Genomic DNA, 19,853 nt, shown 5'->3' with positions numbered 1-19,853 from the left:
GTGAAACCCCGTCTCTACTAAAAATACAAAAAATATTAGCCAGGTGTGGTGGTGCTTGTCTGTAATCCCAGCTGCTCGGGAGGCTGAGGCAGGAGAATCGCTTTAACCTTGGAGGCAGAGGTTGCAGTGAACTGAAATCTCACCACTGCACTCCAGCCTGGGCAACAGAGTGAGACTCCATCTCAGAAAAAAAAAAGAGAAGGTAGTGTCACAGGACCACTGGTTACCTATGCATATGAAGTTTTAATGGTGTATTTTAGGATATAGCATTTGACTTTCCTTTAATCTGAATCTGATTTTATAGAATTCTGTATCACACTTTCCTAAAACACTGTAAGCATCAGAGAACACCTTAGTTAAGGTTCAATGTAAATTTCATGTTGCTAATAAGGTTGTTTTATTTAAAGCATTTAAAAGGCCAATAGGCTGGGCGTGGTGGCTCACGCCTGTAATTCCAGCACTTTGGGAGGCCGTGGCGGGCGGATCATGAGGTCATGAGGTCAGGAGTTTGAGACCAGCCTGGCCAACATGGTGAAACACCATCTCTACTAAAAAAAAAAAATACAAAAATTAGCCAGGCATGGTGGCGTACACCTGTAATCCCAGCTGCTTGGGAGGCTGAGGCAGGAGAATTGGTTGAACCCGGGAGGTGGAGGTTGCAGTGAGCCAAGATCTCATCACTGCACCCCAGCCGGGGCAACAGAGCAAGACTCCGTCTTCAAAAAAAAAAAAAAGGCCAGCATAGTGGCTCATGCCTGTAATCCCAGCATTTTGCAAGGTTGAGGCAAGCAGATTACAAGGTCAGGAGTTTAAGACCAGCCTGGCCAACATGGTGAAACCCCGCATCTACTAAAAATACAAAAATTAGCTGGGCATGGTAGCAGGTGCCTGTAATCCCAGCTACTCGGGAGGTTGAGGCAGGAGAATTGTGTGAACCGGGGAGGTGGAGGTTGCAATGAGCCTAGATCACGCCATTGCATTCCAGCCCAGGCGACAGGGCAAGACTCCATCTCAAAAAAATAAAATAAAATAAAATAAAAATCCAATAATGAGACATTACCTAAGAGCTGTGACACCCACAGTTCACAGTTCTAAAACGGCATGTGATGAGACTATCAATAGGAATTTCCCCACATACTCATTAGAGACTGATTTCCCATTCTTTCCCAATGTTGAGCCACAACAAGGAAATGAAGAACCAACTACTGCAGAAGTTTCGAGGCCAGAACAGAAGTTGGACATCAAGACAAATTTAGGAAAATGGCTGAGATGCTCACATCACTACAAATGGTGTGGCTTCTTTGTGTCTATCAGAACATAAACAAAACTCTTTTTACTTTGAGCCCAACTCTAATATCAAGGTCCCTCGCCAGGCTGGGCATGGTGGCTCACACCTATAATCCCAGCACTTTGGGAGGCCAAGGTGGGAGGATCGCTTGAGCCCAGGAATTCAAGACCAGTCTGGGCAACATGGCAAAACCCCATCTCTGCTAAAAACACAAAAATTGGCCAGGACTGGTGGCACGTGCCTGTGGTCCCACCTACTTGGGAAGCTGAGGAGGGAGGATCATTTAAGCCCAAGAGGTTAAGGCTGCAGTGAGCCATGATCGTGCCACTGCACTCCAGCCTGGGCTGACAGAGCAAGAACCTATTTTAAAAAAAAAGGTCCCTCACCAAAGCTTCCTTTTTGTGACACTACCAGCCAAGGGACCCAAACTTACTTGTCTGGAACAATTGCTGAAAGAACAAATATGAGAATGATAATATCAAGACTGCCCTTGGGCACTGGGTAACTCTTCTCTTCATCACACAGGTCGTGAACAAAGGCAAAACACCGAGAAGGATCATATTCTGAATTTGTCTGCAGACAGATGGAAGACACAGGTAAGTTAGAAAATATTAACATAGCCTAAAGAAAAGATTATCTTGTTTTAAATTTTAAATGTAACTGTTGCTACTTCACAAAGAGGGATATATTTCTTTTTTCTTTTTTTTCTTGAGGCAAAATCTCCCCATGTTGCCCAGGCTGGCCTCAAACTCTTGGGTTCACGCGATAGGATCACTTGCCTCACCCTCCAGAGTAGGGGATATATTTCTAATCATTATATAGATTGGTGAAAAAGTAATTGCGGTTTTTGCTATTGAAAGTAATGGCAAGGATGTGGAGACTCATGCCTGTAATCCCAGCACTTTGGGAGGCCAAGGCGGGAGGATCACCTAAGATCAGGAGTTCGAGGCCAGCCTGACCAACATGGAGAAACCCCATCTCTACTAAAAATACAAAATTAGCTGGGTGTGGTGGCACATGCCTATAATCCCAGCTACTCGGGAGGCTGAGGCAGGAGAATCGCTTGAACCCAGGAGGCAGAGGTTGCAGTGAGCCGAGATTGCACCATTGCACTCCAGCCTGGGCAACAAGAGTGAAACTCCATCTAAAAAAAAGAAAAAAAAAAAAAAAGTAACGGCAAAAACGACAATTACTTTTGCATCAATCTAATAGCATGTTATTTCAGGGAGGACTCAAAGAGTAAAGATCAGGAATAATTGAAGGGAGACAGTGAGGAATCTAATAGTTGCTTTTAAAATAGAACATTCCTGACTCCCCTACTTTTATTCTTTATTCTTGTGTACTTTCTGTACTTCTCATGCATGAAGTCAGATCTAAGAATTGGAAAACGATCATGAAAATGAGTGACCAACAGGGAAAAAAAAACATTCGTAAGGAGAGAGACAGCACATACTTTAAATAAGCACGCGGTGGTTCACGCCTGTAATCCCAGCACTTTGGGAGGCCGAGGCAGGCGGATCATGAGTCAGGAGATGGAGACCATCCTGGCTAACATGGTGAAACCCCGTCTCCACTAAAAATACAAAAAATTAGCCGGGCGTGGTGGCAGGTGCCTGTAGTCCCAGCTACTCGGGAGGCTGAGGCAGGAGAATGGCGTGAACCCGGGAGGCGGAGCTTTCAGTAAGCTGAGATGGCACCACTGCACTCCAGCCTGGGCGACAGAGGGAGACTCCGTCTCAAAAACAAAAACAAAAACAAACAAACAAACAAACCAAAAGCACGATCTGCTAGGCACGGTGGCTCACGCCTAGAATCCCAGCACCCTGGGAGGCTGAGGCAGGAGGATCACTTGAGCCCAGGAGTTTGAGACCAGCTAGGCAACATAGTGAGACTTCATCTCTACAAAAAATAAAAAAATGCCGGGTGCATGCCTGTAATCCTAGCACTTTGGGAGGTCGAGGTGGGAGGATTACCTGAGGTCAGGAGTTCAAAACCAGCCTGGCCAACACAGTGAAACCCCGTCTCTACTAAAAATACAAAAAAATTAGCTGGGTGCAGTGGCACCCGCCTGTAATCCCAGCTACTCTGGAGGCTGAGGCAGGAGAATCGCTTGAACCTGGGAGGCGGAGGTTGCAGTGAGCCAAGATCACGCCACTGCACTCCAGCCTGGGCGACAGAGCTAGACTCCGTCGCAAAAAAAAAAAAAAAAAAAAAAATTAGCCAAGTGTGGTGGCATGTGCCCATAGTCCCAGTTACACAGGAGGTGGGAGAATCACTTGAGCCCAGGAGATCAAGGCCACAGTGAGTTTGATTGTACCACCGCACTCCAGCCTGAGTGACTGAGACCCTGTCTCAAAACAAACAACAAAGCACACGATTTAAAACAACTCCCAACTAGAAAATATTACACAAACCATAGAATTCTTCAGGAAAATCTATTTCTGTAGATGTAGAAAATTTACTTTGTTATCAAAAACTGAAGTAAAGGTAGGCTTCAATATTCATTTGGTCTTTAACTGAATAATAATTCTAAAAGCATGGCACTACCAATTCCTAATCTGCCCTAACAGCATTGTACATAATTGTGACAGACTCTTTTTTTTTTTTTTTTTTGAAACAGAGTCTTGTTCTGTTGCCCAGGCTGGAGTGGTGCGATCTCGGCTCACTGCAACCTCTGCTTCCCAGGTTCAAGCAATTCTCCTGCCTCAGCCTCCCCAGTAGCTGGGATTACAGGTGCATGCCACCACGTCCTGCCAGTTTTTGTATTTTTTTTTTTTTTTTTGAGATGGAGTTTCACTCTTGTAGCCCAGGCTGGAGTGCAATGGCGTGATCTTGGCTCACTACAACCTCTGCCTCCCAGATTCAAGCGATTCTCCTGCCTCAGCCTCCCGAGTAGCTGGGACTACAGGCACCTACCACCATACCTGGCTAATTTTTGTATTTTTAGTAGAGATGGAGTTTCACCATATTGGCCAGGCTGATCTGGAACTCTTGACCTCAGATGATCTGCCCGTCTTAGCCTCCCAAAGTGCTGGGATTACAGGCATGAACCACTGCACCCGGCCTAGTTTTTGTGTTTTTTAAAGTAGAGACAGGGTTTCACCATGTTGGCCAGGCTGGTCTTGAACTCCTGACCTCAAGTGATCTGCCCACCTCAGCCTCCCAAAGTGCTGGCCACCATGCCCGGCCAATTGTAACAGACACATTTTTTTTTTTTTGAGATGGAGTCTTGCTCTGTCACCCAGGCTGGAGTGCAGTGGTGCGATCTCGGCTCACTGCAACCTCCGCCTCCTGGGTTCAAGCGATTCTTCTGCTTCAGCCTCCCAAGTAGCTGGGACAACAGGTGCGTGCCACCAAACCCAGCTAAATTTCACATTTTTAGTAGAGACGGGGTTTCACCATATTGGTCAGGATGGTATCGAACTCCTGACCTCGTGATCCGCTGGCCTTGGCCTCCCAAAGTGCTGGGATGACAGGTGTGAGCCACTGACCCCAGCCATAACAGATACATTTTAAGGCATCTACCCTCAATGTCCGTCTTCTGCAAATATGTGAGTTTGTTTCTCATTGGCCAAAGCTGATTCAAACAGGGCTGCTGTATTTATCAGCTAGGTTGTGTTAACTAGACTTTCCAGGGACTTCAGAACTGGGACACAATCATTTTAGTGAGGCACCATGAACCCCTGAACAGGGTGAGCTTGTAAGGGACTGGGAGGAGCAAGCACGTTGGGGCCGCGTGCAAAATTAGGAAATACTGACTAGAGAAAACTGGTATGCAAAGAGGGAAAAAACAAATGGGCCCTGGACAATGACAGGTAAGATACCAGGAACTTGGGGCTGTATTTTGTGCCCTTAGGTTCTATGACATTCTACTTTATTGCTTTGAGTTTGTCTAGACGTTTCTGTTACTTGTAACTCAAAGAACCCCAATGGAATCATCTCATCAGGTTCGCCTGAGCCCAAAATTCAAGGCTACAGTGGGCTATGATTGTGTCACTCTACTTCAGCCTGGGCAACACAGTGAGACCCTGTCTCAAAAAAAAAAAAAAAAAAAAAGTGAAGCCTGAAGATGTGACTGAATTGCTGCAATCTTGTTGCTGCTTGTTTTTTAGTCTTATTCTTTCTTTCTTTCTTTCTTTTTAAACCAGCATCCTTATCTATAAGGAGTTGCTTCTTACGGTTGGGCAAAGAAAGTGGTTTATTGAGATCAAATCTACTCCAGTAAAGATGCTATGAACATTGTTTAGAAATGGCAAGAAAGGTTTTTTGTTTTGAAATGGCATCAAACTTAGTTGATAAAGCAGCAGCAGGGTTTGAGAGAATGGACTTCAATTTGAAAGAAGCTCTACTGTGGGCAAAATCCTATCAGCATCGCATGCTACGGAGAAATCTTTCATGAAAGGAAGAGCCAAATGATACGGTAAACTTCACTGTTACCTTATTTTAAGAAATTGCCAGTCACCCCAGCCCTTAGCAACGACCACCCCAACCCTTGGCAATCACCACCCTGATCAGTCAGCAGCCATCAATATCAAGGCAAGACCGTCCACTAGCAAAGATTACAACTTGCTGAAGGTTTAGATGATTATTAACATGTTTTAGCAATAAACTATTTTTTTTTCTTTCTCTCTCTTTTTTTTGAGATGGAGTCTCACTGTCGCCCAGACTGGAGTGCAGTGGCACAATCTTGGCTGACTGCAACCTTTGCCTCCCCAGTTCAAGCGATTCTCCTGCTTCAGCCTTTTGAGTAGCTGGGACTACAGGTGCCCACCACCATGCCTGGATAATTTCTTGTATTTTTCTTTAGTAGAGATGGGGTTTCACCATGTTGCCTAGGCCAGTCTTGAACTCCTGATCTCAAGTGATCTGTCTGCCTCAGCCTCCCAAAGTGTTGGGATGACAGGCATTAAGCCATTGTGGCCGACCAATAATGTATTTTTATTTTTTTGAGATGGAGTCTCACTCTGTTGTCTAGCTGGAGTGCAGTGGCGCGATCTCAGCTCACTGCAACCTCCACCTCCTGAGTTCAAGTGATTCTCCTGCCTCAGCCTCCTGAGTAGCTGAAATTACAGGTATGCGCCATTTTTTGTATTTTTAGCCCGGCTAATTTTTTTGTATTTTTAGTAGAGACAGGGTTTCACTTGGTCAGGCTGGTCTTGAACTCCTGACCTCGTGATCTGCCCACCCCGGCCTCCCAAAGTGCTGGGATTACAGGCATGAGTCACCGCACCAGCATGCAATCGTATTTCATTAGTTTATGCAATTGTGTATTAAATTTAATAATTACAACACAAGTGTAAGCTATCATTCGAGACCAGCCTGGGCAACGTGGTGAAACTCTTCCTTTCACTTGAACACACAGAGGACACTGTAGAGTATGAAGTGGCCTAATTGCAATATTGTGTCTTAGAGAACAAGGAGACCTGAGGAGAGGGAGAGAAATGGAATGGCAGGTTGGTGGAGCAGTCACAACGCATGCATTTATTAAGTTGACCGTCTTACACAGATGTGATTTGTGGAACCCCAAACCAAGTACAACAGTAACATCACACACTATAACATACATAACAGTAAAAAAGTCTGAAATATTCTGAGAATCACCAAAGCATGACACATAGATACTAAGTGAGCATATGGTGGTGGAGAAATGGCACCGGTAGGCTTGCTTGATGCAGGGTTGCCACAAACTTTCAATATATGAACAGATACGACATCTATACAGTGTGATAAAGTGAACTGCAATAAAACAAGGTATGCTCGTTATCAGTAAATCTTTTACTTTTAGACCGTAAGAACACAGACTGTATAAGAACACAGCCAGAGACCTTGATTTTTAGGAGAACCTTTTCCCTTTAATCAGTGGAAATTACCAATAGGTAATTTCCCATTGTACTCACCTGGACCAGTTCTATAGCTGTGGAAGAAAAATCACAGCAATAAACAAAGAGTCCTGGGTCACTGAAATGGGCAGAAAAGACAGAACAATGAGACTACAAATCGAGCTATGTCTACTCTCATTCTTGTGTAGCACAGTTAAAATATCAAATGGGAAAAACTATCATTCATTCAAATAAACTGTATCTATTAGTCACAACATATTTCATTTTGGTTAAAATCCCTTTTGAATTATATCCTTTTGGAGGCTCTGTGGACATAGCTAATATGAAGTTTATAAAACAACCAGGGAGTTTCAAATCAATGTCTTCTCTTTTTCCACCTACAGAAATCCTACTTTTCCCTCAAATGAAGCCTTGCTTGATAGCACCACAAGAATTCTTTTTTCTTCGCTGAGCCACCCTGGCACTTTCTCCACACCAGGAACACATCTGTACCTGTCTGTTGGCCCCCACCACATAGTGAGTGAGTGCTTTGACAGTGGCGATTATATCTTTCGCTTATTAGTTCACCAAACACTACTGAGAGCCCACTATGCATTGGGTATTATCTTAGATGCTGAGGAGATAAAGATGAACAACACAAAATCCCTGTGCTTATTTTTCTTGGTATCCTCACTATCTAGCACAAGTCTCAGCACAAGGTAGCAACACAAAAAATGTTGATTTTAAAACCATCAAAATTGCTTTCAATTATGAAGCACATTATATATTTATTCTGAAGACATCAAAATACAAAACAATTTGTAATGCCAGAATTCTGTTAGTACAGGTCTAAATGAAAATGGGAGAGGAGGAAGGCTGTATGCTTGCATTTTAGAAACAACAGCCCAGAACTCTTCTGCACTGTTGGGCTCATTATGAGTGAGCCCCTGGGATTTTTGGGAGTATGCAATACCTCCAGCCTCTCAAAGGCATGGGCTCTGCTTCCTGCTGAACTGTTGACCTTTGGAGCAGACGACTTCTGGGAGGTATAATCAAGACTAAAAACCTGGGGAACTGCAGCATTTGCTATGGTAATCACTAGCTACCTGTGGCTACTTAAATTAAAAATTTAGTTTCTCAGTCCCATTAGATACATTTCACACGTGGCTACTGACCATCATAAGGGAGAGTGAAGATGCAGAACATTTCCGTCACTGCACAAAGTTCTATTCCACAGCACTGCTCCGAAAGCAGGGTCCATGCCTGTCCTGTTCTCTAATCAGCCAGGCAGCTGCATCTGCCGAGTACCCATTAAGGTCACGGGCTAAGTTCTATCAGACTCAGCTTCTGCTTTCTCAAAGACTCATTGCAGTCTTTGCCTCCTGGGTTCAAGTGATCCTCCCACCTCAGCCCCCCAAGTAGCTCGGATTACAGGTGCGCACCACCGTGCCCAGCTAATTTTTGTATTTTTAGTAGAGACGGGGTTTCACCATGTTGGCCAGGCTAGTCTCAAACTCCTGACCTCAGGTGATCCACCTGCCTTGGCCTCCCAAGGTGCTGGAATTTCAGGGGTGAGCCACCGCGCCTGGCAAGCGTTGTTTTCTTATGTTTTTCTTTTTTTTTTTTTTGAGACACGAGGTCTCAGCTGTGTCACCCAGGCTGGAGTACAGTGGCGCAATCTCAGCTCACTGAAGCCTCTGCCTCCCAGGTTCAAGTGATTCTCTGGCCTCAGCCTCCTGAGTAGCTGGAACTACAGGTGCCCACCACCATGCCCTGTTAATTTTTGTATTTTTAGGAGAGACGGGGTTTCACCATGTTGACTAGGTTGGTCTTGAACTCCTGACCTTAAGTAATCTGCCCACTTTGGCTTCCCAAAGTGTTCAGATTACAGGCATGAGCCACCGTGCCTGGCCTCTTTGTGCTTTTCTTTTTTTTTTGAGATGGAGTTTTGCTTTTGTCACCCACGCTGGAGTGCAATAGTGTGGTCTCAGCTCACTGCAACCTCCACTCCTGGGTCCAAGCCATTCTCCTGCCTTAGCTTCCTGAGTAGCTGGGATTACAGGCGCCCACCACCACACCTGGTTAATTTTTGTATTTTTAGTAAAGATGGGGTTTTGCCATGTTAGCCAGGCTGGGCTTGAACTCCTGACCTCAGGTGATCTGCCCACCTTGGCCTCTCAAAGTGCTGGGATTACAAGAGTGAGCCACCACGCCTGGCCTGTGCTTTTCTTTAAGTTTTCTACAGGTCATATAGTTGTCCCTTGGTATCCAGCTCAAGTCTCTTACACAATGGTGTCGGGTGTAGCATTTGCATACAACCCACACACATCCTCCTGCATACATTAAATCATCTATAATGCCTAATATAAATGCTATGTAAACAGTTATATTTTTAAAAATTGTTGTATTATTGATTGATTTTTGAGACAGGGTCTTGCTCTGTCACCTGGAGTACAGTGGTGTGTGTGATCATGGCTCACTGCAGCCCCAACCAATCCTCTGGCCTCAGCCTCCAAAGTAGCTGAGACTACAGGTGCATGCCAGCATGCTTGGCAATTTTTTTTTTTTTGAGACGGAGTCTCACTCTGTCACCCAGGCTGGAGTGTAGTGGTGCAATCTCCGCTCACTGCAAGCTCCGCCTCCCAGGTTCACGCCATTCTCCTGCCTCAGCCTCCCAAGTAGCTGGGACTACAGGTGCCTGCCACCATGCCCGGCTAATTTTTTTTTGTATTTTGAGTGGAGACGGGGTTTCACTGTGTTAGCCAGGATGGTCTCCATCTCCTGACCTTGTGATCTGCCCGTCTTGGCCTCCCAAAGTGCTGGGATTACAGGTGTGAGCCACAGCGCCTGGCGGCTAATTTTTTTGTAGAGACAGGGTCTCACTATGTTGCTCAGGCTCGTCCTGAACTCCTGGGCTCAGGTGATCCTATCTCCTTGGCCTTCCAAAGTGCTGGGATTATAGGCATGGGCCACTGCGCCTGGCCTACACTATTTATTTTCAATCCATGATTGCTTGAATCCTCGGATGCAGAAAAGGTGAATATGAAGGGCTAAGAGTATTATTTTTAAAATCAGAGTCCTTAATTGGGCTCTGAGGATAGAACTGTATTTCAAAATAATTGGTTTTCTCTATTTTACTTCATATACTTAAAATTAGCCCAAGATAAAGCTATATAGATTTGTGCATTTGTAGAGTAGTGGTTGCTTAGGGCTAGAGATTGGGGGAAATTGGGAAATGGGGAGTGACTGCTAATGGGTATAGGGCTTCTTTTTGGGATGATGAAAATGTCCTGAAGTTGACTGCAGTGATGGCTGCACAACTCTGTGAATTAACTTAAAACCACTGTATTACGGCCAGGTGCGGTGGCTCACGCCTGTAATCCCAGCACTTTGGCAGGCCGAGGCAGGCAGATCACGAGGTCAGGAATTTGAGACCAGCCTGGCCAACACAGTGAATCCCCATTTCTTCTAAAAATACAAAAATTAGCTGGGTGTGGTGGCGGGCGCCTGTAATCCCAGCTACTCAGGAGGCTGAGGCAGGAGAATCGCTTGAAACTGGGAGGCAGAGGTTGCAGTGAGCCAAGATCGTGCCACTGCATTCCAGCCTGGGCAACAGGGCAAGATGCCATCTCAAAACCAAAACAAAACAAAACGAAAACCAACCAAACAAAAAAACCACTGTATTATACACTTTATATCTCAATAAAGCTGCTATATATAAAAAGAAAACAAATGAAAAATACATTAGCCTGAGAAATGATCCTAAGGCTTTATCAGATACATTAAAAAAATATTAAGAACCCTGGCCTGGGCAACATGGCAAAACCCCGTTTCTACAAAAAAGACAAAAATTAGCAGGGGTGGTGGCACACGCCTGTTGTCCCAGCTACTTGGGAGGCTGAGGTGGGAGGGTCACCTGAACCCTGGAAGGTTGAAGCTACAGTGAGCTGTGATGGCACCACTGCATTCCAGCTTGGGTGACAGAAATCCTGTCTCAAAAGAAAAAAAAAAAGGATCCAGGCAATAGGGTAACTCAAGAAACATAAAAAGGCTGTAAAGACTGCAGAGTGGGCTGGGCATGGTGGCTCATGCCTGTAATCCCAGCACTTTGGGAGGCCGACGTGGGTGGATCACCTGAGGTCAGGAGTTCGAGACCCGCCTGGCCAACATGGTGAAAGCTCATCTCTACTAAAAAGTACAAAAATTAGCTGGGTGCAGTGGCTCACACCTGTAATCCCAGCACTTTGGGAGGCTGAGGCGGGTGGATCACCTGAAGTCGGGAGTTCGAAACCAGCCTGACCAACATGGAGAAACCCCGTCTCTACTAAAAATACAAAATTAGCTGGGTATGGTGGCACATGCCTGTAATCCCAGCTACTTGGGAGGCTGAGGCAGGAGAATTGCTTGATCCCAGGAGGCGGAGGTTGCGGTGAGCCAAGATCGCACCACTGCACTCCAGCCTGGGCAACAAGAGCAAAACTCTGTCTCAATCAACCAATCAATCAATCAATCAATAATACAAAAATTAGCTGGGCGTGGTGGTGGGCACCTGTAATCCCAACTACTCGGGAGGCTGAGGCAGGATAATTGCTTGAACCTGGGAGGCGGAGGTTGAGGCTAGCCGAGATCGAATCACTGCACTCCAGCCTGGGTGACAGAGTGAGACTGTCTCAAAAAAGACTGCAGAGTGAGGCAGCTGGACGATAACAACTAGGGAAGTTTTCTAGATGCTTCTGATCTAGAATGTGAGGAAGGAAGGAAATAGTGTAGTAGAAACAAAGGACATTTTGGAAAGGTACGGAGTCAGGGGAAGACATGCAAGGTGTGACCAGTGCACTGAGGGATAAGAGGACATACTTTATAGGGCACACTCTTGTAGAGGACTTTGAAAACTATGCCCAACAATTTAAACCTGATTCACAGGCAGTAGAAAACATGTCAATTCTAAGCCAGTGAATTACATGAACAAGTGGGTTCTAGCAAGATATTGAACACAGCGATCTTATTTAAATGGCATAAAGAGGCTGTGGCAAAGATGCCATCTACATTATTTTACATGCATTGATGATATTGATAATTAATGGCCATAACTTGAAGCTAAGTCAATCTCCCATTTGAGGTGGGTTCCTCAGACTGTAACTTCAAGAGCAGAACAATCTCTTTTCTTCAGTGTTAGCTACTAGGACTTGCCATTTTCTTAGAAATTTCTGAGAACAAATTGTAGAAATATTTAAGTGTATATTAGTAATGAGGCTAATGTTTTACTTAATCCTGTTAATGAATACTGTGGGCTAAATTGGCAAAGTATATATTATATGAAACCTTTGAGAAACAGTGGATTCCAGTAATGCATACAGAACTGGAATGTCATTTCCACAAGGGGTTTAAAAACAGCTATAGGGCCGGGAGCCATGGCTCACGCCTGTAATCCCAGCACTTTGGGAGGCTGAGGTGGGTGGATCACTTGAGGTCAGGAGTTCGAGACCAGCCTAGCCAACATGGCAAAACCCCATCTCTACTAAAAATACAAAAATTAGCTGGGCATTGTGGCGCATGCCTGTAATCCCAGGTATTTGGGAGGCTGAGGCAGGAGAATCGCTTGAACCCAGGAGGCAGAGGTTGCAGTGAGCCAAGATTACGCCACTGCACTCCAGCCTGGGCAACAGAGCAAGACTCCATCTCAAACAAAACAAAACAGATATGGTATAATAAATATATCTGGTGTTGGTCTTTGTGGTTCCAGGCACAGAGTTCCAAAAACCTTAAGAATTTCCTCAGCAGGCTGGGCGCGGTGGCTCACACATATAATCCCAGCACTTTGGGAGGCCGAGGCAGGTGGATCACCTGAGGTCAGGAGTCTGAGACCAGCCTGGCCAATGTGGTGAAACCCTGTCTCTACTAAAAATATAAAAATTAGTTGTGTGTGGTGGCATGCACCCTTAATCCCAGCTACTAGGGAGGCTGAGGCAGGTGAATCACTTGAACCCGGAAGGCGGAGGTTGCAATGAGTCGAGATTGTGCCACTGCACTCCAACCTGGGTGATGAAGCAAGACTCTGTATCTTTTGTTATTCATAATGAACTCCCTCAGGACCACACTGAATTTAATGAGATGACCTGGGGTGGGGCCAACACTAGTAAGGGCAAACCGATTGGAACTTTCAGCTTCACCCACCAATGTCCTGAATAGAAATGCAGATTATGTTGTATGAAAACTATTTTCTTCTTCTCCTTTTAAAATTAATTTTCCCATGAGTCTGTGTCCTAGCTGTATAAAAACTCTTGAGGCTGGGAACGGTGACTTATGCATGTAATTCCAGCACTTTGGGAGGCCGAGGCAAGAGGATCACTTGAGCCCAGGAGTTTGAGACCAGTCTGGGCAACAAAGTGAGACCCTGTCTCTACAAAAAATAAACAAAAATTAGCTGGGTATGGTGGCATGTGTCTGTAGTCCCAGCTACTTGGGAGGCTGAGGTGAGAGGATTGCTTGAGCCTAGGAGTTTGAGCCTGCAGTGTGCTATGGGCGCACCACTGTGCGCTAGTCGGGATGACAGAACAAGAGCTTGTCTCAAAACTAAAAAAAACCCCTTGATGAGCTTCCAGGTTGGTGAACACATCCGTGTGCTAGGAGGACACTGCACTGAGCTCCTCAGGGTCAAAGCTCCTGAGCGTGAGATCCTCTGAACCCCACTCTAATTACTTCTTCAGCTGGCTGTTAATCTGTATCCTTCATAACAAACACATAAATGTAAGTAAAGTGTTTCCCTGAGTTCTGTGAGCCATTCTAGGAAATTATTGAACTGGAGATAGGGCTACCCTGATTTACAGCCTGTAGGGCAGAAACACGGAGGGCCAGATTCACAACTGGCATCTGAAGTGGGGGGCAGTCTTCTGGGACCGAACCCTTAACTTGTGGGATCTGACACCAACTCCAAGTAGACAGTGTCAGAATTGAATTGTAGGACACCCAGCTGTTTTTGAATTGGTCAGTGTTGGCAAAAACCCCGCACATTTGGTGTCAGAAGCGTTCTGTTTAAGTACACAAAACCAGTGTGTTTTCATCAGAACAGGAGACATCTTCATGTATGTTAGCTTTCTCAACTCTACCATGGGGGTGATGACAACTCAGCCACTGACTGTTCTTCAGAGATCATGAGAATGGAAAAGTTGAACACATTTGTTCCTTAGAAGAAGAAGAAGGCGCTAAATGTTAACACTAGCAAGTTTTAAGTCTAATTTTCCAAATGACAAAGATAATCAAATTAAAACAATCCATAAATGAACAATGTAGAAATCTGAATCTGACATAATCCATATTTTCCAATAACCATTACTGATAGTTTGATGCAGCAAGTTTTGAAAAAACCTTTACTTTTTTTTCTTGCTACATTGCCCTGGCTGGTCTCACACTCCTGGCCTCAAGCAATCCTGCTTTGGCCTCCCAAAGTGCTGGGATTACTGTCGTGAAGCAATGCGCCCAGCCAACCTTCACTTTTATCTTCTTTGCTATCATAAACTTTTACAACATACTTACTTGTTCGTTTGTAAAATTGGAAAGACTGTGTTTCCCACACCACAGCCAACCTGCAGACAGAAATGAACTATTAATCACAGAACTTTCCAGAGTTAATTCCCTAAAGCTAGAAAAGCTAGAAAAATAATAATCAACAAGAATCTGGCCTAACTGTATTAGGGAAGGTGTAGTGACCAGAGCTAAACAGTACTCATGACATTTGTTGATTTTGATGTTGACTTCAGGAACCCTTAAAAGACAAGAGCACGGGTTTTTATTAGCAGAAACGAGGTGGTCTAGAAAAAAGGGCAAGGATTGCTTTTATCTTTTGAGTTCTAGCAAATGGTCCTGTAGATGAAGTATTTTCTTACTGAGCTTATATTATTATTGTGAAAATATTTGTAATAGACTGTGCTGAAAAATGTATGAAAAGGGGACCCTGACAACCTTGTCCTAAACACAGTGCTGCGTGGTAATGAAGACAGCAACTATTTATTAAGGGCTTAACTATGTGCCAGATACTGTTCTTAGCCCTTTTACATACATTATCTCCATCCTCATAACTATAAAGTGCAGAGGCAGCAGTCTCACTGCTCAGAGAGGGTAAGGAAATTGTCTAAGATCACACCATAGGACTCAATCCCAAGGCTGACCAGTTCCAGAACCAGCTTCCAGTAACGTGCGCAGTCCCCATTTATGAATTTACATTATACCAATCTAGACATTTTTCCAGGTCTAGACTCTGCAACACCATCCAAATGCAGAGGAAGAGAATTATCCCAGGCCTAAGAAACAGGCACCATCCTAACTACCCTCTCCATTCCTGTAACTGTATTAGAAGAGAAGCAACAATTTCTTCTGATCTGGGACTTTTTTCCAGAGTTATAGCATGATCATGTTGAGCTCCTTCACCTGTATGATGCAGTGGCATGTGACAGGTACAGCATGATGCCATTAATACAATTTTTGGAAGTGACATGCTATTCTCGTGTGATCTTTGTCCGTCATGACTACCAGATATCTGGTCTGCATTGAGGGCATTTTATCAGTTCAAAAATGGAGGTGATTCCAGGCTAATATAAGGGTCAAGTCTAGTCAGCATCATCCAATAGAAGTTACTTTTGTTGTCAGCCTCTCTATGCTACCTCATGTGCACAAATATAATAGCTTCACATATCCCACTACCAAGACAATAAAAGGTTACCTCCAGTATTCGGTAGGTGGCTGAGGATCCAGGAAACTCATCAGCACAAATTTCCAGGTCACTAATTTTCTGAGTTACATTCTCCTCCACAGGAAGTGTCTGTGTTTTATGTTCAAGGCTCTTTGAAGAACACTTGTGCTGTTCTTCCATTATTAAACCAGGTCCATCCTCATTGTTTCTACATTCAGGTACTTCACTCTTGTTCTCCAAGAACCAGTCCTTCAAATGATTTTGATTTTGGCTAGGTGCCAGCTCAGGGAATTCGGTAAAAAGCCAATGTCTATCCTTGAAAAACCCATTTTCGTGGATTTTGTAGAAGTCATTCCAGTATTTGTGGGCATTGATCTCATAATCAACTGTAAATATTTAAGAAAAAATTTTAAGAACCAGCTCTCAAATGTTTTATTTATATCTAATATCAATTATCCTGCTTTACCAAATGTCACTTTAATACTAAAAGTATCCTCAGGTAGAGCCACAGTCCCAGAACTGAAGGCATTTCTGAGGTCATTTAGTCCTGCCATCTGGCATTATACCCTAATGCCCCTATCCGTCATTATAGGAGAGTCTAAATTCTGTTTGAACAATCAACCAGAGAACTTACTATCTATCAAGTGTCCTCCTACATCTTTGGATGCCTTTTTTTTTTTTTTTGAGACAGAGTCTCGCTCTGTCACCCAGGCTGGAGTGCAGGGGCGCAATCTTGGCTCACTGCAAGCTCCACCTCCCGGGTTCATGCCATTCTCCTGCCTCATCCTACTGAGTAGCTGGGACTACAGGCGCCTGCCACCACGCCCGGCTAATTTTTTGTATTTTTTAGTACAGACGGGGTTTCACCGTGTTAGCCAGGATGGTCTCGATCTCCTGACCTCGTGATCCACCCGCCTCGGCCTCCCAAAGTGCTGGGATTACAGGCATGAGTCATCGCGCCCAGCCAGATGACTTTTAACTATTAAAAAATCCTAGAAGTAGCCAGGTGCAGTGGCTCATGCCTGTAATCCCAGCACTTTGGGAGGCTGAGGTGGGCGGATCACGAGGTCAGGAGATCGAGACCATCCTGGCCAGCACGGTGAAACCCCGTCTGTACTAAAATACAAAAAATTAGCCAGGCGTGGTGGTGCACACCTGTAGTCCCAGCTACTAGGGAGGCTGAGGCAGGGGAATCGCTTGAACCAGGGAGGAGGAGATTGCAGCGAGCTGAGATCGTGCCACTGCACTCCAGCCTGGTGACAGAGCGAGACTCCATCTCCAAAAAAAAAAAAAAAGTATGGACAGTTTAAATGAAGGCTGTTTTTAAGGTGATCATGACAGTCCCAGATTTCAGTTTACTGCTCTTGCCAATTCAGGGGGCCTTGACTAGTGTAGTAGAAAGAATAAAAACCTAACAAATTGAGCAGGACAGTGACAATGGAAGTTGGAATCCACTAAGAAGTGTGTTAACAACTCACAACTCACCTGCTGAATCAACCAAGACTCCCTAAGAAACAGGATTTTAGTTCCACTACTGCTACTACTGACTGCTTACCTCTGGGAAAAGCACTTAATGTCCTGTGGTCCAAGTGTCTTTAACTATAAAAAGAGAATATTGAACCACATGATTTTCAAAATCCCTTTCAACTATTAACTTGCTTTGATCTAGTTGCTGTCAAAATATGCAGGGTGAATGTTTTGTAACTGGAATCTTTTTGTTGTACAGAACTCTTTCAGCGGGTACTAAATTTGTAGTCCTATCTTCAATTGTCTGGAACAATCAGTCCTAGTTTTACTATCTAGGGATATTTTGCAGTGAAATCATCCACCTCTCAAGCAGGGGCCTCCTTTTCTTTGGCCAGACTTATCTCCACTCTGCTGCATCCACCTTTCCTTGACTAAAGCCCTAAATTCTCATAACCATCACACAAGTAATAGACACACAGTCACCAGTCACTAGCCCCCCTCCCAACAATATTTAGAATCTAATCACTTCAATGAAGCTTCAATGGAAAACATCTCCTCATGGAAAATGCAAATCAAGTAAAAAGTACAGGTTCTAAGATGATCGCGTGACCACACAGTTGTCATTGGCTAGCCATATCAACGTGGATCTACTAAACATAATTAAAGACAACATTACCCTCCTCCAAAGTAAAACTATATATAAAAAAACCCTCTACGACTTAAGATTTTGTTACAATGCAGCCCTTTTCTCTCCTTGCTCATCCCCTCCCTGTCCCGCTCTACTCCTGAGATCTGCATCAGGCCAGGAATAAAGGATCTGGGCGGCCGCGGTTCCCTGGCCTCTCCGGGAGGGCGCGTTCGGCAGTACGCTGGCTGTTGATACCAATGAGAGCCCATTTAAGCGCACCTTGTTTCTCCTGGCACACCCGCTGGATACTGTTCTCCTGGACTTTTCTCTCCGCCGCCGCGGCTTGCTCTTCCGACCACTCCACATTGTCCCTGAGAAAATCAAACGGGCAGCTTAGGGGCCTCACGTCCTGGCTGCGGGCAGGGTGAGTCGCTGGCCTAGGAGTTTCTCTCCCCTTGGAGAGTGCCTCGGGTAGGGCAGCTTGACTCGTGGCCGGCGGTCAGGGGCTTTTCGGAGTGCTCCGAGGCGGCGGGACAGAGGGTCAGCGACAGGCCGGGCGAAGGGGCAGAGTGATTACCAGGCATTGTGGTGGAAGACGCGCGCCGGATCTCTCAGGAACCGGCTTCCGAACTGCTGCCTCTTATCGGCGAGGACTGCAGGTGCACCTTCAGGGTAGGAGCCGGCCATGACACCGGAGCCGGAAACACTTTACTTTCCGTAACGTGAGAACTTCCTGCGGACCACGCCCTCTTTCAGAAGACGCGGAGTCTGGGCGGGAAAAAGGGTGGCGGGACAGGGCGGCACTGGAGTCTGGTCCGGGTGGCGCTCGGGAGCTGTCGTTTGGGGCTGTCCCAGGGTTGGCGAAGGGCTCTCTAGGAGAGGGGACCAGGCAGGGGGAAATTCTCCCCGGAGGAGTCGTTTCTCATTGATGAGGTGCTGATGGACGTGCAGGTTAGGCAGAAAGTGGGAGACATTCCACTTGAGACCCAGTTCAATGCTGGGATCCTCTTAACAGGTTCCCCAGCTTCCCTCAAGTTATAAAACAGGAAAAATCTTGAATCATTATAAGAGTTGAGGCTACCTAGTTCCACTGCGGAGCCGATGTCCAGAACTGAAGAAGGTAGCAAGCAGCGGGAAGAAACAGGGCAATTTCCAGCTTCTATATTCAGCTCTTAATAGTGTGGGTGTATATGTATACACAGTGTGTATATATATTTTGGTTGGGGTAGGGGGAGATGGAGATATGAAATTAGAGAACACGAGGCTTAGCAAATCAAATGGAATATCCAAGGACAATTTTTTTTTAAATTATAACCATCTAACCTTTTTGAATCATGCATATTTATTATAATTATCCTTATTAGCACAATTAAGATTGTAATACACACATACAAACAGTTTGTCATAGTAATACATTTCAGCCTTACATTTCTATTTCTAGATCTAACACAAATAGACTCTCAAAAGAATCTAGAAGAAAGTATGTTATAGACATAAGGTTATTTGAGAAGACTTCCAAGAGAAGCATGATGAATACCACTTGGAAAAGAAGGAAAGGGCAGAGACCAAACAAGGACCAGCCCAATACCTCTTGGACTTTATTTAATGTCATAATGTCAGAATAAAGGGAAAGATGAATTTTTTTAAAAAAGGAAAGGGTTAGTGCAGTGCTAGACATAGCACATGGGTAATTAGTACTTTTTTTTTTTTTTGAGACGGAGTCTTGCTCTGTTTCCCAGGCTAGAGTGCAGTAGCCGGATCTCAGCTCGTTATAACCTCCATGTTCTGGGCTCAGGTGGTTCTCCTGCCTCAGCCTCCTGAGTAGCCGGGATTACAGGTGCGCGCTACCACACTCAGCTAATTTTTGTATTTTTAGTAGAGATGGGGTTTCACCATGTTGCCTGGGCTGGTCCCAAACTCCTGACCTCAAATGATCTGCCCGCCTCGGTCTCCCAAAGTGTTGGG

General features: G+C 45.0%; 1 protein-coding gene across 1 annotated transcript in view, besides 3 other annotated features; it reads right to left on the bottom strand.

Annotated features, from left to right (window-relative positions):
* Positions 1-18,581, bottom strand: part of METTL2A (methyltransferase 2A, tRNA N3-cytidine) — a 29,489-nt gene extending 10,908 nt beyond the window's left edge. Inside the window, exons 1-6 of the mRNA NM_181725.4 lie at positions 18,466-18,581; positions 18,168-18,259; positions 15,824-16,179; positions 14,641-14,690; positions 7,186-7,246; positions 1,722-1,861 (exon numbers count right to left, since the gene is read on the bottom strand). Coding sequence (NP_859076.3) covers positions 1,722-1,861; positions 7,186-7,246; positions 14,641-14,690; positions 15,824-16,179; positions 18,168-18,259; positions 18,466-18,575 — 809 coding nt within the window. The 5' untranslated portion in view covers positions 18,576-18,581. The remainder of the gene's footprint in view (positions 1-1,721; positions 1,862-7,185; positions 7,247-14,640; positions 14,691-15,823; positions 16,180-18,167; positions 18,260-18,465) is intronic.
* Positions 18,197-18,566: an enhancer, noted in NCBI's record as "active region_12539". NCBI's record gives its function as "activates an Ori minimal core promoter by ATAC-STARR-seq in GM12878 lymphoblastoid cells {active_cell/tissue: GM12878}" and the evidence as "EXISTENCE:reporter gene assay evidence [ECO:0000049][PMID:35858748]".
* Positions 18,197-18,848: a biological region, named in NCBI's record as "H3K27ac hESC enhancer GRCh37_chr17:60500991-60501521".
* Positions 18,318-18,848: an enhancer, noted in NCBI's record as "H3K27ac hESC enhancer chr17:60500991-60501521 (GRCh37/hg19 assembly coordinates)". NCBI's record gives its function as "activates a minimal SCP1, AML or CMV promoter by ChIP-STARR-seq in naive H9 embryonic stem cells {active_cell/tissue: H9 hESC(naive)}" and the evidence as "EXISTENCE:reporter gene assay evidence [ECO:0000049][PMID:30033119]".

This window comes from Homo sapiens, chromosome 17 (genome assembly GCF_000001405.40).
Source record: "Homo sapiens chromosome 17, GRCh38.p14 Primary Assembly".
NCBI lineage: Eukaryota > Metazoa > Chordata > Mammalia > Primates > Hominidae > Homo > Homo sapiens.
This window is presented reverse-complemented; position numbering and strand designations above follow the sequence as displayed.